Raw genomic sequence first — 26,617 nt, 5'->3', positions numbered from 1 at the left:
CCAGCTGCTAGCGGAGTGCAGCTGCATGAGTGAGCCCAGGTGAGTCCAGCAGCCAAACCACCCAGCCAACCGCACGAATTGGGAGAACTAAATGTTAGGGTTTGTTATGCAGCGATAATAGATAACTGACACAATGTACAATGAAGACAAGAGTCAACTAAGGCAGAGCACCCAGCAACAGGACTTGATGGTGCTAGGGCAGATAGGAGGGGAAGCAGGGGAGGAAGAAGGGGCAGGGACAGGTGAGAAGGAAGGGCCTGGGTCTCTCTTCTGACCTTTTATTATTATGACTATTACTTTTGAGACAGGTCTCTCTCTGTCTCCCAGGCTGGAGTGCAGTGCTTCGATCAGAGCTCACTGCAGCCTCAAACTCCCAGGCTCAAGTGATCCTCCCACCTCAGCCTCCTGATAGCTGGGACCATAGGCACGCACCACCACACCTGGCTAATTTTTAAATTTTTTTGTAGAAATGAGGTCTCAGTATGTTGCCCAGCCTGGCCTCAAAGTCCTGGACTCAAGTGATCCTCCCACCTCAGCCTCTCAAAATGCTGAGATTACAGACATAACCCGTGGCACCTGGCCCTGACCTCTTATTATTGAGGCTCAATGAAACCACAGCTGTTAGTTGGTTTCTTTGAGCAACAAACCCATGACAATGTGGCTCCAAAGCATAGTCCAGTCCTGCTCCTTGGAATGCTGTTCCCTGGCTCCTCATCTAATTTTATGCACCCTAATCCTCAGCTTCTATTGTCGTGTCCTTAAAGCAGTCCTTCCTGACCCTCAGTCAGGACCCTCTATATGCTCTCTGAAGGCACACTGAGTTTTCCTACAGAGCACTCATCTAAATTTATAATTATTTATTGTTGTATTTCAAAGGATCCAGGCCCACAAAACCAAAAGAGCTGATGCGTCAAGACCCTATGAGACATGATGAGTAATAGCAGTAATAGCAGAACTTCCCAGTCCCTCACCCTCCGTATGAATTTCTTTAGATCATTGGTTCTCCAAAGGTGGTCTGGAAATCAACATCACTTGGCATCATCTGAGAACTTGTTAGGAATATACATTCCTGGGCCCTAATCCCAGTGATACTGAATCAGAAACTCTGGGGATGGAGCTCAAGCAGTCTAGGATCTGTCCTGGTGATTTTGATGATACTAAAATTTCAGAACGACTAAGCTAGACATCAGGGAGAAAGGTGAGTTGCGGAAAAGCAAGGAATGAGATGAGATCCTGAGACAAGATAGCCCTATGCCAGGTCCCTCCCTGCCTGGTGTGCCCAGAGGAGGAGGGTGGTGTCAGAAATGCCCAGGAGGTTTGGAGGGGATTGGTCTGAATACACAAGGATCTATGCCCAGTTTCCCAAAGAGATCTCAGATGAGGCATGACTGCATGCTGGACCCACAAAGCCACCCCCTGGCCCACTGTCAACAGGGCTTTGGGACATGTCAGGGAAGACCACTTAAGTTCCTCCCGAGGATCATTCAGACGGCCAAGCCAGAAAGGCCCAGATCTCTGCCCTCATATTTTGCATGTTATTATTATTATTATTTGAGATAAGTCCTCACTCTGTCATCCAGGCTGGAGTGCAATGGTGCAATTATAGCTCACTACAACCTCTAACTCCAGGGCTCAAGCGATCCTCCAGCCTTAGCCTCCCAAATAGTTGGGACTACAGGCACAAGCTGCCACACCTGGCTAATTTTTTAAAGTTTTTGTAGAAATGAGGTCTCACTGTGCTGCTCAGTCTGGTTTCTAATTCTTGGGCTCAAGCGATCCTCCCACCTCAGCCTCCCAAAGTGCTGGGATTACAGGTGTGAGCCCCAGTGACTGGCTGCCTGTTATATTGAACAAAACTGAATTATGGGGGAACCCCATAAGGTGTTTTTCCTGGTCAAACTTCAGGCAAATTGGGAGCTGCTCAGCAAATCTTGAAGACCTATGGTCCAGGGAGATATCCACTGATACCCTGAATTCATCTTCCAATTCCTGGGCACAATAATAAAATCTGCTATTGACTGGCCTGACAGGCACTTTTCCTGCATTTTATCATTTAATCCTCACTATGCCTCAGTGAGGGAGGGACTACGATATCCCCATTTAACAGATGAGGAAACTGAGCTTCAGCGGTGTTAGGTAACTTCCCCAGACCCATTCAGCCCGGATGCGGCAGGGCCAGGACTTGACCCCACGCCTATCTCTCCCCAGGGTCTGCACTGACAGCCTGCCTGTTCCACTGCCGGCCTCATTATTTTTTGGAAACACATTTCACACTTTTCTTAAAGAAGTAGCAAAATGAGCATCTCGGCAGAGAAATACACAGTGCGCTGCGCTGGCTCAGGAGGTGGAGAGAGGGTCAGAGGCTTCCCCTGCAGCTGGTAGGCTCAGCTGTGGACTCCGAAGATGATATTCATTCTCTCTCTCTCTCTGTCTCTGTCTCTCTCTCTCTCTCTCTCTCTCTCTCTCTGTAGTCATCCTTTGCTCCAAGCACCAAGGCTGAAGAGCATAAACAGCAGGCAATGCATCTCCCCGAGTTTATTTACTAAAACAACATTTTTTATTACCAGGACATGTTCAGAGCGAAAATATGACAGCCCACATTTTATGTCGCCATTGATCTTTAATCCGAGCCTGCCTCGAGGTTTCCTATAAAATCAGGGCTTCCTGGTCCCAAATGTGATTCCCGCACCCGAATGAATGACGGCCGGGGCTGCTCTTTTCTCATCTGAAAAGGCTGAAATTGCTTTGTGTAAATGGGGAGAAAATGCTGATATTTGGATTCTATAAATATCTCGCCTCCTGAGCGAGCAGCGCCGGGTTTCATCTGTGCGGTCTCCTTGGAGTGTTTGGGGCCTTATCACTTGTATCCAGGGTGCGGCATACAAATGAGCCCCCGCCCCGCGCGGGTTTGGAACATTTGGGCGCATCTGCGGTTCCTGAGCGGGGATGCTGCGGAGCGAAGCAGGACGTGGCCCACGAGAGCGGCGGGGGCTAGAGATGAGCACGAACCTCGCTTTAGGGGAGAGAGCCGCGCACAGCCCCTGCCCCCCACTTCCATTTGCAGCCGGCGCCTGCCTGCGTGGGAGAAGCTTCTATCTATAGCGCGCTATTTTTAGCTCCATCATCTGAGGAACCTGACAGCCAGTTAATGACTGGGACCCATCGCGGCGTGTCTGCCGCGCTGTGGCATTCGCACGCCAGGAGCAGATGTGCTGAGGCTCAAGGTTGTTGCATCTGAAAGTGCCCTTCCTTCCCTGGGAGGTGGGGCTGTTTGAGCAGGCCTGTATCAGGGGGCGTCGCCCCCCACTTTCTGACAGTCCTCATAGAGCAAGGAGGGGGCATCTTACTCATTTCTGCTGCAGTGAATGTCTTCTTCCTGATGCACGCCCTGGCCCCCCTTCCTAGACAGCGCAACCTGGAGAGATGGAGGGGACAGGGAAGGCTGGGTGGCAGCTCTGAGCGATGACAAAGGACTCCTATTGTATCTTGGGGAGATCGGAAACCTGGGAAGATCAGGGCACAGGCACCCTAGTTAAGAAGCTGTAATTTTTCCCCAAGGAAGGAAAATTCTGTGTTTCAGAGATTTAATGCCTTTCAGAGAGGCTGTACTCTGTGTTGGGCTGAACCCCTGATTTTATAGATCAGGTATTCTCAGAGAGGCCCAGCGACCTGCCCAGGCCCACAAGGACTGACTCCCTGCTCCACGCCCTCTGCACCTGCTGAACCCAGGGCCAAGTTACAAGTCAAGGGGCTGGTTATACTCAGTGAATGATCCCAGGGATGTGTTCGGTGTTTGTGCACTCATTCATTCTTTCACTCCTCCTACATACTTGGACCTGGGGTGGGCTGACTGGCTGAGTACCAGGAAATCAGACCCAGAGCAAGGGGTGACATGGAAAAGCCAGTGTCACGGTCCCTGCTGGGAAACCTGGGAGAAAGTCTTGGGTTGACAGTTAACATCACAGATGTGCCTGGGGAGAGGCCCTCTGTCAGGCCTCCTGGATAACATCAACAGCCGACATATGCAGCAGGTAGCGCGTGCCAGGGCACCGTCCTGAGCGTGTTACAAGGATCAGCTTAGAGTCCTCACTGCAACCCCTAAAGTTGGTATGCTGTTATCACCCGCATTTTGCAGGGGGAAAAAGAGAGGCCAGAGAGGATAGTGACTTGTTTGAAGTTGCCCAGCTGGTGAGTGGAGGGTCTGCGATTGAAACTGGGGCCACCTGGCTCCCTGTTCACCCCCTTAACCATTCTTCTGTACTGCATCCAGGTCAGGGCTATCTGACTTGCCTCACTCAGCCCAGCCCTGCTTGAACTTCCAAACAGGCTCCCTCACTCTCAGGTTCCCCTAGAACAGCACTGTCCAGTCACAGCACTCTCTATGATGGTGGAAATGTTTTGTATCTGCACTGTACAAAGGGTAGTCACGAGCCACGTGCAGCTACTGACTGTTTGAAATGTGGCCACTATGACCGAGAAACTATTTTACTTAATTTCAATGTCAATAACCACATGTGGCTAGGGACTAGCACTTGAACAGTGCAGCTTTAGAAGGCCGGCTGCACACTTTAGTCAACTAGGGAGATTTGAAAGATAATTATGCTAGGACCTATTCTCAGAGATTCTGATTTTGGTTGTCTGGGGTAGACCAGGGCATCATTATTTTAAAAGGGCTCCAGTTGATTCAATGTACAATGAAGTGTTGAGAATCACAGGGCTCCATGAGATCCCAAGTCCCGCTAGCCTTGTCTGCCCTGTAGTAAGCCACCCTCTGTTCATACTGTGGCGGATACTGTAAGTGACTCATTCAACACTGCTCCTATTCCTTTTATCCCTCACCTTCCTCTACTACAGAGGCTAGAAAGCTAAATACTTCATATCTCTAATGGCCATGCAGCTGGAAATGCCCCTGTAACACTGCTCTGGCCAAAGAAACCTAAGCAGAATTCTGCTGGCTGTGTCCCATCAGCCACCTTCTTCCTGCCTAAGATGAAACCAGGTATCTAGTGTTGTGGCAGCCATGAGGGAAGACTGGAAGAGTTGCAGTCAGTTTGCCTTGATATCATGCTAAAGACACAAACCCAGCAACTGCCTGCTTCTAGACATTTTGTTTTGGAAAACAATAACAACCTATTTCCTTAAGTCATTCTAGTTATATTTTCTGTTTCTTACATTCTGAAGCATTTCTAGCACAGCCATCTTTATTATCCTTGGCCTTGAGATTGTTCTAAAGACCAAACATGTTAATGTATGGGAAACCACTTTGCAAACTGTAAAGCACTCAGTGAATGGACAGTGTTTGGAATTGGTCTGGAAACACTGCCAATCTCTGCTTTATGTAATGAATCTAAAAGCAAGAGCATGAAGGCCGTACTATTTCAGGGTGAGCTGGGGAGCATTTCCAGGAGGATTTTGGTGAAGGGAGATGCAGAGTCCTGGGAATAAGATGATCAACTTGTCCTAGTTTGGCCAAGACGTTCCCAGTTTTAGCACTGAAAGTTCTGTGTCCCAGGAAACTCCTGTGTCCTAGGAAACTCCTGTGTCCTTGGAAAACCGGGATAGTTAGCCACCCTGTCTGGAGCATGCAGCACAGAGATCTACCAGCCACTGCAAAACATCTGCTTTTGGAGCAGGTTGCTAACTCACCCCAAAAGGCCTGGCCACTTCTTACTGGGAAATCTATCAGCTGATGCACTGTGAGCCAGAACTTACTCTACTCAGCATTTCAGCTGTGGTTGCTGGTCATGAATTAGTGGCGCTTTGAAATGTTCACACACTTCCTTCAAAGCCTCCATTTCTTTTTTTCTCTAAGTAGGAGGAAGTGTGTGGGAATCTGCCACTCCTGGGGAGCAGGGCTGGCCCGTGGGCTAAGTGCCCAACTGTCTTGCGCAGTGCCCTGCCCAGAGCCAGCCTCCAAAACACACGCTGCTTGGTGGAAAGGCACCAGGCTGGTCTTTGGCTCCAGTCCTGTTCCCCATCCCCAAGGTGCTGCATCTGCCTCTGGGTCACCCCCCACCCCTGCCTCTCCTCAATTTCATTCTAGCCGGAATGACTCCTTGGCAGTAATTATGCTCACCCCTTTCATCTGAATGGCATGTTTCCGTTTGCAAAAGAATCTCATGCCTATTATCTCTTTTGATTCTTCCAATAGTCCTGGGAGGTGCTTATTAGTCACTTTATCCTCGCTGCTGAGGAGGTTGAGGTGGGAGGATCGCCTGAGCTCAGGAGGTGGAGGCTGCAGTGAGCCCAGATTGCACCACTGCACTCCAGCCTGGGCGACAGAGCAAGACCCTGTATCAAAAAAAAAAAAAAAAAAAAAAAAAAAAGACTAAAAGCCCTTTAATAATAATAATAACTAACAGCCATGTGCCCAGCACTGTCCTAAGCATCTGTTGATTCTTCTGGTCCTTGAAGTCTGTGCTATTTTTCACTTCCATCCACAGATGAGGAAACCAAGGCACAGGGAGGCTAAATAACTTATTTATTGTCTCACAGCTAGTGAGCTGGGATTATAAATCCAGGCTGCCAGCTCCAGAAGGCATGTTTCCAGCCATGCACTGTCCTGCCTCCATAGACATCCTGCTGAAGAATTCCAGGAGCTGGCAGCACAGGGTAGTTGGAGGGCCTGTGTGGATCCTGCATGCCGTCTGTGCTGTTCCCATCAAGTATGAATTTATTTTAAAATACCATGCTTCCTGAAATGACCATGATGCCCTGGCAGGATTTGGGGGGTGTGTTAATTTCCTGATGCTGCTATAACAAATTGCCACAAACTTGGGAGCTTAATACAGATTTAGCTTCCGGTGCAGGAGGTCAGAAGTCCTAACTGGGTCTAATTAGGCTAACATCAAGGTATTGGCGGGGCTGTATTCCTTCTGGAGGTGCTAGAGGAGAGGCATCCTTTGCCCTTCCAGCTTCCAGCGGCTGGCTGCTTTCCTTGGCTGTAGCCTCTTCATTGTCAAAGTTGGCAGCATCTTCCAGTCTACGACTCTGACCTCCTCTTGGTAAGGATCCTTGTGATTAGGCTCACCTGGATAATTCGGGATCATCTTCCCCTCTCAAGATGCTTGACTTGGGTTAGTCGCGGTGGCTCATGCCTGTAATCCCAGCACTTTGGGAGGCTGAAGCAGGCGGATCACAAGGTCAGGAGTTTGAGACCAGTCTGGCCAACATGGTGAAACCCCGCCTCTACTAAAAAATACAAAAATGAGCCAGGCACGGTGCCACGTGCCTGTAATCCCAGCTACTTGGGAGGCTGAGGCAGGAGAATAGCTTGAACCCAGGAGGTGGAGGTTGCAGACAGCTGAGATCGAGCCATTGCACTCCAGCCTGGGCAATAGAGCGAGACTCCATCTAAAAAAAAGATGTTTGACTTCATCACATCTGCTAAGTTCCTTTTGTCATGTAAGGTAACATATTCATAAGTTTTGGGAATTAGGACATGGGCATCTTTGGGAATGCCTTACTCTACTTACTGTAAGGTTGAGGCAGAGTTTGAATCCCAGCTCTACCATGTGATGCCTCTGTGCCTCAGTTTCCTCCTCTGTAAAATGGGGGATGATGAAGCTGCTGGACATACCTCCCTCTGAAGATTGTGAAGGTCAAAGGGGATGATACATGTTCAAGTGCTTTGCAAAGTTCTATGAATGTATAACTCCTTATTATTGAATAAAATAGTACTCAAAGAGAAAGACTGCTTCAGGCCAGCCCAGGACCAGTTAGAAATACTTGCCTTCTGCAGCCCAGAAAACTCAGCTCCAAGGTTACCCACTATAACTTTTGCTTCCATTGCCAGACCTGAAATGTGAAATAACTGCTCTCTGGCCATTTCGCTCAGTGAGTCTCTTCTTTTTGACCAGAATCAAAGTCAAAGTCATGGAAGAGTCCTTTCTCATGTGGGGCTGCATCAACTGAACACTCCTCCTAAGGGAGGAGACCACCCCTCATATTGTCTTATGCCCAATTTCTGCCTCCAAAGAAAGAAGAAGTAAAAACTAAAAGGTAGAAATGGAATCCACAGGCAGATTGCCCAGTACCACACCCTGGGCCTGGTAGTTAAAAATCAACCCCTGACCTAACTGCTTGTGTTATCCATAGATTCCAGACATTGTATGGAAAAGCATTGTGAAAATCCCTGTCCTGTTCTGTTCCATTCTGATTACCGGCGCATGCAGCCCCCAGTCACGTACCTCCTGCTTGCTCAATTGATCACGACCCTCTCATGTGGACCCCCTTAGAGTTGTAAGCCCTTAAGAGGGACAGGAATTGCTCACTCGGAGAGCTCGGGTTTTGAGACGAGTCTTGCCAACGCTCCCAGCTGAATAAAGCCCTTCCTTCTTTAACTCGGTGTCTGAGGGGTTTTGTCTGCAGCTCGTTCTGCTACATTCCCACTTCTGTGAAGATTTAACTTCATGTGGGAACATCTGCTCAACGTGCTCCTCATGCCCTTCCCCTCCTCGCAGTCCTGTGTTCTGGGGCAGAGTGAGGAACAGCAGCGGATGCAGAATGAAGTCCATGCATCTTCTCTTTCAAGGGGCTGGCACTCCAATGGGGTGAGGCTCTCTTGAGGGGTCACCGGGGAAGGCATCCAGCATGACATGGCATGTTGCACCACAAATAACCAAAAGTACTTTTCTCAGTCCTTTCCACAAAATATCTCACTGAATCCTCAGAATAACCCTAGGAGGTAGTTATGGTCATTTTCCCCATGTTGCAGATGAGAAAACTAAGGCTCAGAGAGGTTTAACTGCTTGCCTGAGGTTACACAGCTAGTAAGTAGCAATACAGGTGTCTAGAGGCTGTCACCATTACCCTTTACCACCGCTGTGGTCTCGTCTTTCTTTCTTTTCCCAACTCAGGGACATTTACATTTTAACAAGACTCATAGGCCTTAACAACTACATAATAATTATGAAAAAAAGAATATAATGATGGAAATATTAATAATGCATGAGACCAAAGAGGAGAGCTATAAAAGTTCAGAGAAGATTCATAGGTAGAAGGAAACTGAGAGAAGATACTGCCGTGGGCTTTGCAGGGGGTGAACTGTGTGGTGCAGGAGAGGTAAGCCACCTGCGGCCAAGGCTTCTCCAGGCCAAAGCCGTGAAGTTAGGCAGGTTTGGGGGCAGTTAAGAATCCTGTTAGATTGGAGTGGAGAATTTGTAGCCTATGTCGGAAAGTGAGGTTAGTCCCACTCATTCATTCAACAAACATTTACGGAATGCCTTCTGCAGGCCTGTTCTCCTTGGTACTGGGGAGTTAACAATGAAAGGACAGATGACCCCAAGCTCCTGGAACTTCCACTGCATTGAAAGAGACAGATAAGGACATACTAATGAGAACTTATCAGGGAGTTAAGTGCTGAGAAGAAAATAACACAAAGTCAACGGCCGGGTGTCAGAAGAAGCAATCCACTGTGAGTTCTGAGCGTCCCTGCTCTTGATTGCTGGGTATGCCAGGAATGCCAAACCATTCTGCTTTTACCTGGGCTATTTCTCAGGGTTGTGTTTGCAACAGGCAATCTTGTTTCCCACCAGACAAAGAGCAGGTTTGTTTACTGCTCACTTTCCCAGGATCAATGTTCTTTGCGTGTGATGGAAATCACCTGTAATGTGTGCCGTCTCCCTGGGCCTGCCTCTGTCACCCCCACAGGACTTGGGACGCATTGAGACCCAAGCTAACATCATGGTCTCTACTTGCTCTGCTGTGACTAATAGAAGTTCCTTTGACTCTGACCCAAAAGTCTCATATCTTCTGCCAGCATCCATAAAACAGTAGCAGGCTAACTTTTGTTTCCTTTTGAGATGGAGTCTCTCTCTATAACCCCGCCTCAGCCTCCTGAATAGCTAGGACTACAGGCGTGTGCCACCACACCCAGCTAATTTTTGTATTTTTTGGTAGAAACAGGGTTTCACCATGTTGGCCAGGCTGGTCCCAAACTCCTGACCTCAAGTGATCCACCTGCCTCAGCCTCCCAAAGTGCTGGGATTATAGGTGTGAGTCACTGGACTCGGCCAGGCTAACTTATTAGCTTGCAAGTAGGGAATGTCTCAGACTCTTCCCAGACCCTGAGAGAATGATGGTGGTAGAGTAAGGACAGGAGACAGGTGTCTTAAGGTGATCTAACTTTGATCTCAAGGGGCAAGGAAACACCACCTGACCTCAAAGTCACATGTCAAAGATCTAGGAGGTAAAAAAGAACAGTAACATTATCATGTTAGTTTGTTTTTATGTCACTATAAAGGAATATCCAGGACTGAGTAATTTATAAAGAAAAGAGGCTTAATTGGCTCAGGTTCTGCAGGCTGTACAGGAAGCATGGTACTGGCATCTGCTCCTGGTGAGGCCTCAGGGAGCTTACAATCACGGCAGAATGTGAAGGGGGAGCAGGCTTATCACAGAGTGGTAGTGGGAGTAAGAGAGAGAGGGAGGAGGTGCCACACTCTTACACAACCAGATCTCATGTGAACTAACTGAGCGAGAACTCACTCATTACCAAGAGGAGGGCACCAATCCATTCATGAGGGACCCTCCTCCATGGCCCAAACACCTCCCACCAGGCTCCACCTCCAATATTAGGAATCACATTTTAACATGCGATTTACAGGAGACAAATATCCAAACCATATCAATTACTAATTAGGTGATTCAGGAAATTTCATCTGGTGACTGCAGGGCAGGTGGGAGCATTGTTAGGCTTTTCAACATAAGAAGAGAGTGAATGTGATGGCAATGTGTTATGCTGTCTGTAATTTCATTTAAAATATTTTAACAGAAATAGTGTAATATCCAGTGTGTGTGGGTTCACTTTAATCTATTCTTTAGAGACAGTTAACATTTTAAGTGTTCTAATCACAACACTGCAAGGGTGGTTTGTTAGCATTTAATAACTTCAAGCCAGACGTCTAACCTGAGGTGGCTACCACAAGATTTCAGTTACTATTTTTAAATTTCAGATCAATGTCAGAGGCTTTGTTAGCTAACATAATAGGTGCTAGAAGTTATTTTTGTTATTGGTGAAATAAGGAGCATTCAAGATTGGCTTAATGTATTATAGCAGGACCCCTGCTCTTGAAGAACTGAATTTAAGAATCCAAGGAGCCCAATCTTGGCTGCATATTGTAATCACCTGATGGGAAGCTTTAAAAAATATCAATGTAGTATCTGGGCTCTACTTACAGAGACTGACTTAATCGGCAGACTTGGCGCAGGCCAATGTAATGGTGTGTTGCTGGTGTGCACCCTGGGAATTGGGATTTTTAAAGCTGCAGTGTGATTCTAATGCATGGCAAAGTTTGAGAAGCATTGCAACAGCTCACACTTCAGTCTGTCTCTTAGGAGCTATGTGACCTTGAGTAAGTTCTTTAACCTCTCTGAGCCTGTCTCCTAATCTGTAAGATGGGTGTGATAATATGCCTACCCCATCTGCTGATCATGAGGAATTCATGAATTATTCCATGATGAGTGCTTAGAATAGTGTCTGGCAAGCAGGAAGTTATCAATTAAGTGTTAGCCATTACTACGTTATTCTTATTCAACTATTTTTACTTTGATCTTTGGAAAATTTCCCCAGGCATGATTATGGTGTCTAGCTGCTATCTTGGAGAATTCATGTTCCTAGTCCGCTGTAACTAATTGGCTGAAACCTGCCACTGGAATATTTGCCCTAAATGAACCTTTCATATGAGATGCTGTTGGAACTCCTAAAAAGAGAGAGGGTGCCAGAACTTGATCTTGCTTCCAGAACAAGTTGTAGGCAGGAACTGTTTTAGTGTCAGTTTGCTAATCAATGTCTGTGTGGGCAGCAGGAATCTGTATGAAACTTGCTTTCAATAAAACTGAGAAGGAGGTTTGTGGAGTAGTGATCTTTGACCCATCTCTACCTCTGGTTCAGATGTTCTTATTTTTTTTAGGGCCTTGGACCCTTTAAGAGTCTGGTAATGCCTCTGGATCCCTTTGCAAAATAATGGTTCCAAATGCATAAAATAAAATACTTATTACTACAGAGGAAACCAATTATATTACAGTTATCAAATTATTAAAAACAAATTTATTATATAATTATATATGTACTTCCTTGTTAGTATCTTAAAGAATGAAGTCAATTGTAATGTGATATGAAAAAAATATGTGATTTCTATTAGCGACAGTAGAAATCACTTGTGACAAAGCCACAAGAATTTTTATACTACTGTGGTTTCTTGTCTCATTTGTAACGAAAGGCAATGCTAAATTTCAGTTAAACATTAATGAAAATAAAGATGTTATCTTTTTCCCCATCTGTGTTCACAACTTTCTTGAATTTCATGATTCTTGGGATAAACACCCTTGATTGGAGGCTACCAATAGCTGCCCAGCTAATTATTGGGTATGACCAAATGGGCTTAGACAAGACTGCAATACAATGGAAATACAATGAAAATATAATACAATGCCATAATTGGACTAATTGAACTTACAGTCCAATTACAGAGCCAGAAGGAGAAACTTTTCAATTATTATTGCTGTAATAAAACTCCAAAACTTAGTGGCTTAGAACAATGGTTTACATTTCCTCATGATTCTGTAGATCAGGACTCTGGCCAGGTGATATAATTTGGCTGTGTCCCCACCACAATCTCATCTTGAATTCCCACATGTCTTGGGAGGGACCCGGTGGAAAATCATTGAATCGTGGGGGAGGCTTCTCCCAAGCCTTTCTCGTGGTAGTAAGTCTCACAAGATCTGATGGTTTGATAAGGAGAAATCCTTCTCTTTGGTGCTCATTCTCTCTTTGCCTGCTGCAATTCGAGTAAGATGTGACTTGCTCCTCCTTACCTTCCGCCATGATTGTGAAGCTTCCCCAGCCACGTGGAACTGTAAGTCCAATTAATCCTCTTTCTTTTGTAAATTGCCCAGCCTATGGTATGTCTTCACAAGCAGCATGAAAACAGACTAATACACCAGGGCTCAGCAGGGTGATTTTCTGTTGGTCTCCCTTGGGTTTCTCACGCATCTGAATTCACTTGGGAGCTTGGCTAGATCTGAAACTGCTCTTCCTCCAAGGCCTCTCTTCATATAACCTCTGACCTTGAAGTCATCTAGCCTGGACTTCCTTAAAGCATGGCACCTGTGCTCCAGAGAGATAGTAGCATCTGCCCATCCTCTTCAGGCCCAGGCTTGGAAGTCCTACAGAATAGCCTCCACAACCTACTGGTGAAAAACAAGCCATAGGCCAGTCAGATCTCAGGGGAGGGCACACAGACTCATCTCTTGAACTGAGGAAGGGCACAAAAGCCCAGGGAGGGGAGAAATTATTGGAAGCTGTCTCTGGATTCTTTCCACCATGGCAACCTGTCAGATTGGAGACTGCTCAGACACGGGGGTGAGTCAAAGCTGCCACTGAGATGTTCTGCTTCAGGACTTGCTGTTTTTGCTCACACGTCAGATTTCCTCTTCCAGAGCTCCTGATCGGTTCTCACGGAACCATCAAAAACTATTCCTGAGGCTTGCGAAGCATTCATCTCAATGAAAAAAAAAGTGCCAATTTTATTAATACTCATTAACAGACTTCATTATGCAGTGTGTCCTATAATGTCAATACCATAGGTTGCTGTTGCTTTAGCAATGAGAATTAAATACACACTTTCCCTTTCATTACCTCAGCATGTCTGACTATTGCTGATATCTAAACAGAATACACTCCTCCTTTTGGAGAGCCTTGCCTGGGTGCGACCCCAGCCACAGCCTGAATCAGCCTCCCCCACTGGGTTTCTGTAACCCTACGCTTGCCCGTGTACTTTCAACAGCTTCATTTTTTTCCTTATTTCTTTTCTTTTCTTTTTTCCTTCCTTCCTTCCTGCCTTCTTTCCTTCCTTCCTTCCTCTCTCTCTCTTCCTTTTTCTTTTTCTTCAGTTTTATTGAGATATACACATACCATACATCACCTTTCATTTCTAGCAGCACTGGCCTGGAATAATCTTATATATGCCATTCCTACTGGTTCTCACTTTGGATTCATCTGGGGAACGTAAAAAAAATTGCCACCTGGGCTGGGCATGGTGGCTCATGCCTGTAATCCTAGCACTTTGGGAGGCTGAGGCAGGAGAATCGCTTGAACCCAGAAGGCGGAGGTTGCATTGAGCTGAGATCCCACCACTGCACTCCAGCCCGGGTAACAGAGCAAGGCTCCATCTCAAAAAACAAACAAACAAACAAACAAACAAACAAAAAAACATTGCTACCTGACTTCCACCCTTGGAGATTCTGATTTCATGTGTCTGGGTGCACAGAAGCTTTTTAGAGCTTCTAGGTAATCCTAATGTGAGCTGGGCTTGAGAATCCCATCCCAGGCTGTGGTGTCCTTGAGGGCAGGGGGCTGTCTTACTGGCACACAGTTGGTACTTAATAAAACATGAACAAGTGAATGAATGATGAATGGCCCTGCCTTCCTTCTTAGGGAACTGAACCTTATGCTCCCAGCTGCTGGAAAAGGCATTGAGCCAGTTTTTGTTTGTCCTTGCGGCTGCCAGAAGGCCTTTTTTTGTCTTTTCCTCCTCAAGAGGCTAGCAGAACTTGGAAACTTGGAGTCTTGAGAGTATGTATTTTGTTACCTTTGGGGCAGATGGAAGAGGTCCCTGTTCCTGAAAGCTTACTTAGGAGCCTGAGGGCTGGAAGGAGGTTGGGGGAGACTAGGAGGTGTTGGGAGGTGCTGGAAGGAGGTTGGGGGACACTGAGAGCGGTTGGGAGGGGGCTGGAAGGTTGGGGGAGGCTGGGAGGGGTTGGGAGAGGCTGGGAAGGGGTTGGGGACACTCTGAGGGTTCACAGTATCCACAGAGTATCACACTTATTCAGCACTTCCTTTGTGCTGAGCACTGTGCCAAGGATTTGATATGAACTCATTTATTTTTCAATCTGACCCTATGAGGAGGACACAATTGTTTTCATTTTATAGATAAGAAAATGGAAGCACTGAGCGGTTAAGTGGGTGACCTCAAAGTTGCAAGAACTGCAAGGGAGGTTCCCAAAGGCTGGAAGTCTATGGGTTTGGGAGAGTGGCAGGAGGTGGCACAGCCTGCAACTCAGTTCTGAGGCTCCATTTGCCTGGGAGCTCCCAGAAGGGGATTCACTGAGCATGGACTCTGGGAGCTTCCCACGTGGGGCAGGGTGCAGGAGGTCCCCAGGCTCCTTCTGGCAGAAGGCTCGGACAATGGGCTCATCGGCCCTGTCCAGTGAGAGTCGGGCACCAAAGGACTGTTTGGACATGCTGTTTGTTACCTATAAACTCCTGCCTCCCTCCACTCAACCCTGAAAAAGATTCTTCCCAAGCAAAGGACCCTGGTGGGTGGTGGCTTGACTCGCATTTAATTTTACATATAATAAATAAAGTGAATATGGTGCCAGAATAAAACTCACACAATGTCTGGGGCCACAGGATTCTGGTAATTTTGCTTCTGGGCCTCTCCTCCCACTCTGACCAAGTTCTAGGTCATGCCATCCCTGGGCAGGCTCTTGGAGCTCCATCCCAGCCTCCACCAGCTGCTGCTCCAGCGGCCTTGATGCCCCCAACAGTTCAAGTGGCCTCTTGCCTCAGCCTGTCTGAATTGGGTTTGTTTAAGGAAATTAAGAACCAGACTTGGTTTAACTCAGGCTGGTTCCAACTCGTTATTACCCCACAGTCTTAAGCTTCAAGCCAGCCTGAACAAATTCCTGCAAGCCGCCGTGGGGAGAGAGCCACCCCCTCCTGTAAAAACAGCCCTGTCACACTTCATGGCAGGTGCATGCTAGGCAGAGATCTGTATTTGATTATTCATATTCTCTTTTGGTTTTGCTTGATAGGATTTAGAATGATCTGAGGGAAGGAAAGGAATGTGTCAAGAGAAGAGAGGTGACGGGCGGATGCGGGCTAAGGGGGGGACACTTTAACAGAGGGGAAAGAGGTAGCTCCTTCCTCACTTTTGACAGAGTTAGGGATCTCAGTGGAGCAGGCTACAAAATACAAATCATATCATTCCTGTGAGAAAACGGCAAGTTTGTCCTCACATTAGGAAGTCATAGTAACAAGAAATGTTCACACTAACAAGTACTGAGTACTAAGTACTTAATCTGTGTGCCAGGAACTGCACCATTTCCCACGAATTATCCGCTCTCTTTGCCCTCATTGTACATATGAGAAGACAGAGAGGTTATGCAGTGTGCGCAAGACCACTCAGTGAACGGGCGGCTGAGATGGGTCTCCAGCCTGCATCTGTCTGAAGCTCCCGGCTCTTAGCAGCTCTGCAGAGACGCAGCCGGGAAGAAGCCAGAACAGACTGCAGTCAGCGGTTCTCAGCCCTGGAGATGCAGTCACATCAGCTGGGGAGCCTTTAAAACAGCACTGGGCCCAGGCGCCTCCCGGAGAGCCTGACTGAATGGAACTGGGCTGCGGCCTGGGCATCGGTTTGTTTCTAAAGCTCCCCAGGTGAATCTGATGTGCAGTCAGGGCTGTGAACCATGGCTGGATGGGTTGGAGCTGAAAGTAAGTCCTGAGGTGACCTGGGCAGAGGTAAGACTCTGAGACTAGGGAGCCTGGGAGAAGGAAGACAAGAATCACAATTTCTTTCTTCTTCCTTCCTTTTAATGATAAGTGACACTGCATTCAAGATAAACTTGAAGAACTTTAAATACCAAGTTTCCCTAAAGCACAGAGAGCAAACCATCTGAAACTTCTTTAATTTCATCAGTAGCTCAGGCCCAGAACCAGCCAGACTGCCGTCTGACACAAATGCCACTAGAGAGCCGTCATCCTGTCCCTGGGCCAGGTTAACCCATATCTGGAGTTAATCCAGACCTAATTTTATATATATATATATATATATATATATATATATATATATATATATACTTTTTTAATTTTTAAAATCTTGGTAAAATATACGTAACATAAAATTTACCACTTTAATCATTTTTACCTATACAGCTTGGTGGCATTAACTCTATATGCAATGTTGTGCAGCCATCCCCATTGATATGGTTTGACTCTGTGTCCCCACCCAAATCTCATCTTAAATTGTAATCCACATAATCCCCACGTGTTGAGGGAGGGACCTGGTGGGAGGTGATTGGATCATGAGCCGGTTTCCCCCATGCTGTTCTCGTGATAGTGAGTGAGTTCTCAAGAGATCTGATGGTTTTCTAAGGCAGTTTTTCTTGCTCTTGCTCACTCTTCTGTCTCCTGCCACCATGTGAGAAGGCCTAAGCTTGCATCCCCTTTGCCTTCCCCCATGATTGTAAGTTTCCTGAGGCTTCCCCAGCCATGCAGAACTGTGAGTCAATTAAACCTCTTTCCTTTATAAATTACCCAGTATCGGGTATTTCTTTATAGCAGTGTGAAAATGCACTAATACACCCACTATTCATTTTCAGAACCTTTTCATCTTGCAAAACTGAGACTCTGTGCCCATTCAACAATAACTCCCCATTCCTCCCTCCTGCTAGCCCCTGGCAACCAGCATTCTACTTTCTGTCTCTGAATCTGACTGCAACCCAGACCTCATTTTATGACAGATTAGTTATTCCTATAACAGCTCAAATAAAATCAAATAATTATAACTACCCTCGATTAAGCAGTTAATTACAGAGCAACTATCTCAGTAGGTGCTATCGCAACCTCCACTGAACAGATGACCATGCAGTGTGGCAGAGACAATTCTATGTGCTCACACTGGAAGACCACCTTTTCTAGCCTCTATGCAGGGTAGGTGGGGCCATACTACTAGGTTCTAGCCAATAGAAAATAGGCAGAAGTGATGAATATCATTTCCAAGCCTGGCTGTAACCCCCTGTGCTATCTCCCACACTCTTTCACCCTTCTGCAGCAACCTAAGAGGCTACATATTTAAGGTGGCAGTGTTAAAACATGAGAAGAATCTGAATCTTGAGTCCCTGCTTGGACAGAGCCATCAAGAATTGGTGTCCAACCTGCATCAAACTGGGGCATGAACAAGAAATCAAATTGAGATATTGTGCAATTTTATTACTGCAGCAAAGCCTATCCTACCCTAATATAGAGAGACCCAATGACTTACTGTATTAGTTCATTTTCACACTGCTGATAAAGACATACCTGAGACTGGGTAATTTATGAAGAAAAAGGTTTAATGGACTCACAGTTCCACGTGGCTGGGGAAGCCTTACAATCATGGCAGAAGGTGAAAGGCACATCTCACATGGTGGCAGACAAGAGAAGAGAACTTGTTCAGGGAAACTGCTTTCTAAAACCATCAGATGTTGTGAGACTTATTCACTACCATGAGTATAGCACAGGATAGACCCATCCCCATGATTCAGTTACCTCCCACTGGGTCCTTCCCACATATATGGGAATTGTGGGAGTTACAATTCAAGATGAGATTTGGGTGGGACACAGCCAAACCATATCACTTTTTATAGCTAATAGCCACTGGAGTCAGTATTCAACCCCACTTCTCTCTGATACCCTATTTGGTGGCCTTGGCATTACACTCTGCTGCTATTGTGTTGTCCACATTGCTCTCAAAGTATCTATTTGAGGTTAAATATATGGCCTTAAAAAACTGCTTACTTCTGTACAAAAAGCTAGGCATTTTCATATGTCCCTCTCTCCACACCAAACTACCCTCTGTACATCTTGCTATTCCCCAAAAGAAAAATAAAACAAGCTTCTTTTGCTGAGCTCCATCCCTCCAGTTGACAAAAATCCCAGGAGCCTCTGGTCCTCAAGTCAGGCAGACATTTAAACCTATTCTTCTTTAAGAGATGCTTCACCAGCAATTTATTTCCTGTCACAGCCTGTGTTTTCTGCCTATGAAGGATGATATTTTGTTCACCTTTGGTGCCTTTACCCCATCGTATTCTGCAGTAAATGTCCCCAAACAATGCTTGCACTATCCATTAGGAAAGGCTGTCTCGACTGGCTGTCACCCAGCAAGGCTGCTTCTCCCAGTCTTTGGTCTAAACATAATGTCATTTCTTCTTAGCACATCACCCACTACTATCTCCTGTTTTTAAAAAAGTGTTTCAACAGAATGTTTCTTCTCTATTCTATATCAAAATCTGTTTCATCACAACAAGCCGAGAGCTTGATAACCTTTTTAAAACTTTGAAGAGGAAAGTGTAGAAAAATGACCCAGAGATAGAACATACATCTGGGAACTTAGAAAAGTGAAGTTGGATGTAGAGCAACAACAAGAGTGAAAAGAAAATGTTAGAAAACTTTCCACATTATGAACCTCACAGAACAGAGAGGTAAATATTTTTTACTCAAGCATTGAAATAGAGTACGGTGGCCAGATTTAGCAACTAAAATACCAGATGCCTAGTTGCATTTGAATTTCAGATCAGCAGTGAATCATTTTTTTGTATGTCTCATGCAATATTGGGGTATATTTGTACGAAAACAGTATTTGTTATTTATCTGAAATGTAAATGTAACTGGGCACCATGCATTTTGTCTGGCAGTGCTAAGGGAGGGCACAGGCTCAGGCTCAAACTCTGGTTCTGTCCCTTATCAGCTGGGGACAGCTTGGATCGAATACTTAACGTCTCTGTGCCTCAGTTTCCTCATCTCCACAATGGGGATAGTGAAAGGGCTATTGGGAGACTCAACTGGGAGATGCAAGTAAAGACTGTGCACTGCACCTGGTACACAGTAAGTGTTCAATAAATATACAAAAGCTGGTGGATGGCTAAGGGGAAACCAAGCCTGTCAGCATTCGCCAAGGGCCTCTTCCATGTTTGGTGCCATGTTGTGTCTGTTTTGTATCTGAGTCCCTCTGTGACTTTGGGCAAGGTGTTAATCTCTCTGAGCTTTACTCTCCTTATCTGTAAAAAGGAGCTGATACCATCTACTCTTAGAATTTCTGGAAGCATTAGTAAACGTACACAACAGGACGACTTAATTCAAATCACCCTTCCTGTGGGTTAAGCATTGCCCCTCTGCAGAGTCTGTCCTTCTGGAGCCCTGAAGTGACCCAAGGTGCCTGGAGCCTCACCAAGGAGATGAAGTTGGAGGAAGGCCTGGAAGAGCCAGAAGAGAAAATGGCACCCTAAAGAAAAGGGGGAACAGAAGAAACCGCTTTCCTTGCACTTTGCCTGTGTGGGAGGAGCTGAATTTCTGTTTTAGTGAGAGGTCCCCGCTGAGAAGCTTCCTTCTATGTTCTCTCCACACCTCCTCCTTTCTGATTTGCTGGTGTCATTTTTTTTTTTTGTTTTTTTTTTTGAGACGGAGTCTGGCTCTATCACCCAGGTTAAAGTGCAGTGGTGCAATCTCGGCTCACTGCAACCTCGGCTGCCTGGTTTCAAGCGATTCTCCTGCCTCAGCCTCCCAGGTAGCTGGGATTACAGGCACCCACCACCACACCTGGTTAATTTTTGTATTTTTAGTAGAGACAGAGTTTCACCATGTTGCCCAGGCTGATCTCAAACTCCTGACCTCAGGTGATCCTCCCACCTCAGCGTCTCAAAGTCCTGGCATTACAGGTGTGAGCCACTGCACCCAACAGATTTGCTGTGTCTGAAATTCCTTTCCTATAAGACCCTGATTCTAACCCAATTTGATCCTTTAAATATTTGTTGAGCACGTACCACATACAATGGGACAGCAGGTGGTGGGAGAGACATATCTAAAATTTAAACGGGATCAGTCTTAGGCTAGAGAGAAAAGCTTTGATGGTAGAATTTTAGGAACTTGGAGAGGCATTTCTGAAAGCAAGAGATTTCCAAGGACTCCTGAAATTATACTATCTAATTCTTCCGTGCATCAGACAAGTTTTGAGCACCTATTACATGCCTGTCACTGTACTGGGGACTGAACAGGTAGATGAGTGAGATCCAGTTCCAGCCTTGCAGTTGCTCTGGTCCACTGAGCAATGTGTTAAATACAATGTGGCAGGTGCTATGATGAGCATAAGAACAGGGCACCGTGGGGACACAGAGTAGGGAAGGTCAACCAGGACCTGTGGGGGCAGGGAAGGCTTCCCGGAGGAGGTGATATTTGACTCCAGTCTTGAAGGAGGAGTGGGTGTTAAAGAAGGGGAAGAAACAAAGGCAAGAAGCCTTTCAGGCAGAAAATACAGCACCTGCAAAGGCCTGCATCACCTATATAAGACCCACCTAATAATAATAAAACACCACCTGCTGGGCGCTGTGGCTCACACCTGTAATCCCAGCACTTCGGGAGGCCGAGGCGGGTGGATTACGAGGTAAGGAGATTGTGACCATCCTGGCTAACATGGTGAAACCCCGTCTCTACTAAAAATACAAAAAATTAGCTGGCCACGGTGGCACGCCTGTAGTCCCAGCTACTCAGGAGGCTGAGGCAGAAGAATTGCTTGAACCCAGGAGGTGGAGGTTGCAGTGAGCTGAGATAGCACCACTGAACACCAGCCTGAGTGACAGAGTGAGACTCTGTCTCAAAAAACAAAAAACAAAAAAAAAAAACCACCACCAAAAATAGCAGTAGCCAATGTTTCCTGAGTGCTTACTGTAAGGTAAGGTATGGTATTAGGTCATTTAACCCTCATAATAGGTGGTAATTTTCCTGTTCTCCCAATGAGGAAACTGAGTAATAGGTTGGGTAATTCACCCAAATTCACACAGCCAGTTAGCAACAGCTCAGCATTGTACTTGGCCTTTCCAATTCCCAAAGCGAAACTCCCAAAGCCTCTTCCCTAAATCCTTCACATTCTTATTTGGAGTCGTGAAGTGAGAGCTCAGCATTCTTTGGTCGTCTTTCTACGTATTTGCTATTTTCTCTTTGATGAGAAAATTGGGGTCCATCTGAGGATCCTGATAAAAACCACTTAGCCTGTGTGTGCATCAGATTCCCTGGGCTTCCTTTCTGCCCTCTCTCTGGCCAGTATTCCAGCCATCTATCTTCACAAAGCACTGAATCAGAGAAAAGTAATGTGAAAAACAAAATCGATGGCTGGATGTCACCCCCAGGTCTTTAATGAAATTGCAGTGATGCTTGACTTGTCATGGCCTCCCTGCTTCCCGGCCTGGCTCCCGAAGCCCTCAGTGTCCCTATTGATTCCTAGGCCGCTGCAGATGGGAGCTGGTTGTGAGGAGTTGCTGAAGTCCTGTTAATCCACCTTCCATTGTGGGTTGATTTTTTATTTGTTGAATTTCTTTATCTAATTTCCCTAGTTGCTCCATTTAGAAATAAATAATATCGTCAAGTTAAAAAAGAAAAGGACCCTGTGGGTCTTGAATTCATTTCCTCTCTAGCTGTGTGCCAGATTGGAGGTAGCTGACCCTGCAGGCTGTACTTCCCAGGCTCCAGTGCGGTTGACCCGGCTGGGTTTGACCAGTGGGAGGCCAAGGTGGGAGCCAGAAGGGTGGAAAGAAGGCAGAAGCCAGGATATGTCCAACCCCTTTCAGGCCCCAGCATGCCCAGCAGTGGCTGCATATTCTCTGTGGCATCTTCCTCCAAGGGTCAACCTTGACCCTGTAGGGGGGACCCTGGCCCTGGGCTTTGGTAACATCACCTCCTCCTCTGTCCCTCCAGCCTAAGAGCTGACTCACTGTCTCCCATTTGGCTTCTCAGCTCTTTCGTCAACTGGGCAAACAAGGCCCTTTGTTACATTCCTTCTGTTTTAAATACTTAGAGTGGTTTCTGTTTACCTGGTTGGAGTTTAACTGATACAGAAAGGGAAGCTAATTTGCTAAGGGTAAGCAAAGACATGTGGGATGCAGCCCAGTCTATAAAACTATTAGCAATCCTATCCAGTATGACTTGGCTTAATTCAATTCAACTCAACAACTCAATTTAACTCAATTCAAATTAATACAGGCTCACTGAGCACCTACTTTGAGAAATGCACTCTACTAGATAATAGGGATACAAAATAAAGAAGTAAAAGAAATCCCCTCAAGGAGTTGACTAGGCGTCTAGTGGCGTAGTCAAGAGAATGAAGAGTGAAGGTATTCTGCACAGTGGATCGTAATAAAGGGCATTGTTAGCCCATCTCTGGGGTGGGATACCTCATTAGACTGGAGGTTAAGGAGCTTCTAAGGAGGCAACTCTCAAATGGGAAGGTGTGGCATAAAGACTGCCAGCTAAGGAGAAAAACCCCATCGTGTAGGGAGTAGACGGATAATTATGAGGCTTGAGAAACCTAATTCCAGAAAGTATAACACTTAACACCCCAGCCTCCAGCCTCTAAAATCCATCCAAGCAGATGGACAGATGGAGCAGAAGAATTAGCCTAGGAATTAGAATTAGCTTAGGACAAGATTTTTGTTTAGTAAAAATAATAAAAGGTAAAGAAAATATTACAAATAAATAGTATTATGACAACTATTGAATTATTGGGGAAAAATATAGATTTTGCCACAATTATTGATTGAAGAGTTTAGTCCTCCCCCCAATAAATTATAAACTCTAGAAAACACTGTAGATTAAAGTTTATTGGATTTGGGGATGGAGGAGGACATGCTAAAGCATGGAATATATTATAAGGAGAAAAAAGAGTTTTATATATTAAACTCCATAAGCAACATTAAAATGGAACGGAAACAAACTAGGATTAAAAGTTTGTGAAAAATATGGCAAAGGATTTATATCCTTACTATAGAAAGAATTTTTATAAACAAAAATAAGTCTAATGGCAAATATAAGCTAATGATAAAAATATACAATTCATATGAAATATATACATAAAAATTTTAACCAACTAGTAATTAGAGATATGCAAATTTTAAAAAATAAGACTTTTTGCCAATGAAATTGACAAAGTGTATTTTGTTTTCCAAATAATACTCCACACTGGGGAGCGTGGTGTGAGAAGAGAGCCCTTATCATTGCTAGTGGGAGTATCAATTATTACATTTCTGGAAAACAATTTTGTGATGTGTATCAACAACCTTAAAAATTTTTATGACTTTTTTCACCTCTATAATATAGAGGTGCTCTCCAGTGTAAATAAGCAGATATGCAACCATCTCAGTATTCCTTATAATGGAAGATTGAACACAATGTGTCATAGGCAGCTCTGTGGTGTAACCGAGAATCTCAGTATCTCATGTCATAGAATATTATAATGTGATAATTATAATGCAACAAATGCAAAGGAATGTGAACAGCCAGATGAGAAAGGAATCATTCTGCCTGGAGGTAGCAAGGAAGTCCTAGCAGAGAGGGTGATATTTAAAATGGGTCCTGAAAGATGAATAGGAGTTTACCAGGCAGGGTAAAGGAAGGGCCAGGCAGAAAGAAGAGCCTATGTTCATGTGAAGAGGCCTGAAAGGTACATTTAAGGAGCAATAAGAAGTTTAGTGTGGCATGAGCTGACTTAGGTCATACTGTTGGGAGAGAGAGGGAAGGTAAAAGAGGGAAGTCAATGGGTTTCAGAAGGATTTTGATGCCATCCTGAGAATTAGATAATAGCTAGTGTATTAGTCCATTTTCATGCTGCTGGTAAAGACATACCTGAAACTGGGTAGTTTATAAGGAAAAAGTGGTTTGATGGAGTCACAGTTCCATGTGGCTGGGGAGGCCTCACAATCATGGTGGAAGGCAAAAGGCGCGTCTTACATGGTGACAGACAAAACAGCATGAGAGCCAAGTGAAAGGGGTTTCCCCTTATAAAACTAGCAGATCTCATGAGACTTATTCACTGCCATGAGAACAGTATGGGAAAGCACCCCCAGCATTCAATTATCTCCCACTGGCTCCCTCCCACAACATGTAGAAATTATGGGAGCTATAATTCAAGACGAGATTTGGGTGGGGACACAGCCAAACCATATCAGGCAGTCAACTGAAGTTTACAACCAGAATTGTGGGAGGATTCATTTTGCTTCAGGAGGTTCGTGAGGCATCCTGGAGGCGGGGTGACAATTAAGAGACTCTGGTGAGAGACCACCCAAGACTCGCTGAGATTTGACCCAAGGCACAGGTTGGGGAGGAATTACAGAGATATGATTGGCAGGACTGCCACAATGAGAACAAAGACATAATTCCTGGATTTGCAACTTTTTGAGACAAATGGGAACAAATAATTACAATACAGTTGCCACATGCAATCAAGAATGCAAGAGGTACCAAGGAGAAAGGTGGTAAATATAGGATTTGGGAAGTTATTGCCTCAAACATTAGGAATTCCAGAAGAATACCATCACATCTCCTGTCAGCCTTAGCCTGTGAAAACAAAACTCATTTTCCCTGGGAGGTATCTGGGGAGCACAGTCTACTCCTGAGGACCTGAAGGTAGGTTAGCACACAGTTCACATCAGTTTCTAGCATCTACTGGTTCCAGCCTTTTCTCAGTCAGTTTCCTCCCCCATCCCGCCCCATAGTGGAAGTGCGGGAAATGAAAGTTCATGAAATGCTACTATTGAATTTGCTACAGATGATAGAGGCCAGCTGGTGGCTGATATGGTTTGGCTGTGTCTCCACCTAAATCTCATCTTGAATTACAGCTCCCATAATTCCCACATATTGTAGGAGGGACCCAGTGGGAGATAATTGAATCATGGAGGTGGTTTCCCCCATACTATTCTCAAGTAGTGAATAAGTCTCATGAGATCTGATGATTTTGTAAGCGGTTTCTCCTTTCGCTTAGCTCTCATTTTCTCTCTGCCTGCTGCCGTGCAAGACATGCCTTTCACCTTCCGTCATGATTATGAGTCCTCCCTAGCCACATGGAACTGTGAGTCCATTACACCTCTTTTGCTGGATAAATTACCCAGTCTTGGGTATGTCTTTATCAGCAGCGTGAAAATGGGCTAATACAGTGGCCAAACTCAAAGTATGGGTTTTCTGTGAGTATCTACAATAGCCCCTCCCCTAAATGGATGGATAATTGCAGACACTAACAGTTGGCTGTGCAGACACACACGTAGCACTCTATCCTACCCACCCTGCATACATTTTTGCCTTTCTTTAATGGGTGACTATTTGCCAAAGCTGATGTGAATGCCCATGGAGATTCCATATTTTACTGTGACATTGTTATTTAAATAACAAGATAAAAGGAGAGGGTTGGGGGTTGACTCACGAGGCTGCAAGCTGTATCCGGTAATAAGGCCCTTGGTTTATAGGTTAATTCTCCCATCGACTGAAGAGGCTGCCTTCTCAAGCATGTCAGAGAGGAGAATTTATTACCCGTGGCACTGCTGTCATTGGGAATGCAGGTAAATAACTGCATTGCAAATGTGGTGTGAAGGGGGCACTTCTGAAGTTGGCAGGCAGCAGCAGGGTGTGGAGGGAAGCTCAAGGCCTAGGAGACAGGGAAGGGGAAAGACCACCCAGTTTATGTGTTTGGACATTTCCTTCTGGGGACACTGTCCTGGTCACCTGGGGAGTCCAGTTATTCAGCCTCTGTCAAGCCTGGGAAAGAGAGCTGGTTGCACATTTTGGAGCCTGTTTCCAAACAGCACTGTCTTTATTACTGAAGGCTTTAAATGAATGATAGCCTGGTGTCAATGGGGTTTAAAATGCCAAGCATGTGACCGTTTAGTAAAAGCTTGCAATTAACCTTCATGACCCCTATTATCGCTTGTTTTTTTTCAAAATTAGGTGCCAACCTCAGATGAAGTTTTGACCCTACATTATAGACTCATGATCTGTGGTGACCATTAACATTCCAGGCAATGCTTGGGAAATGTCTTTTCCTCA

At 45.6% G+C, this 26,617-nt stretch overlaps 3 annotated features.

Annotated features, from left to right (window-relative positions):
* Window positions 3,035-3,578: an enhancer, noted in NCBI's record as "H3K27ac-H3K4me1 hESC enhancer chr4:25089726-25090269 (GRCh37/hg19 assembly coordinates)". NCBI's record gives its function as "activates a minimal SCP1, AML or CMV promoter by ChIP-STARR-seq in primed H9 embryonic stem cells {active_cell/tissue: H9 hESC(primed)}" and the evidence as "EXISTENCE:reporter gene assay evidence [ECO:0000049][PMID:30033119]".
* Window positions 5,427-5,927: an enhancer, noted in NCBI's record as "H3K4me1 hESC enhancer chr4:25087377-25087877 (GRCh37/hg19 assembly coordinates)". NCBI's record gives its function as "activates a minimal SCP1, AML or CMV promoter by ChIP-STARR-seq in naive H9 embryonic stem cells {active_cell/tissue: H9 hESC(naive)}" and the evidence as "EXISTENCE:reporter gene assay evidence [ECO:0000049][PMID:30033119]".
* Window positions 5,928-6,428: an enhancer, noted in NCBI's record as "H3K4me1 hESC enhancer chr4:25086876-25087376 (GRCh37/hg19 assembly coordinates)". NCBI's record gives its function as "activates a minimal SCP1, AML or CMV promoter by ChIP-STARR-seq in naive H9 embryonic stem cells {active_cell/tissue: H9 hESC(naive)}" and the evidence as "EXISTENCE:reporter gene assay evidence [ECO:0000049][PMID:30033119]".

This window comes from Homo sapiens, chromosome 4 (genome assembly GCF_000001405.40).
Source record: "Homo sapiens chromosome 4, GRCh38.p14 Primary Assembly".
In the NCBI taxonomy this organism is placed as follows: Eukaryota; Metazoa; Chordata; class Mammalia; order Primates; family Hominidae; genus Homo; species Homo sapiens.
The sequence above is the reverse complement of the archived record's forward strand: the minus strand, read 5'-3'. Positions and strand labels throughout refer to the sequence as shown.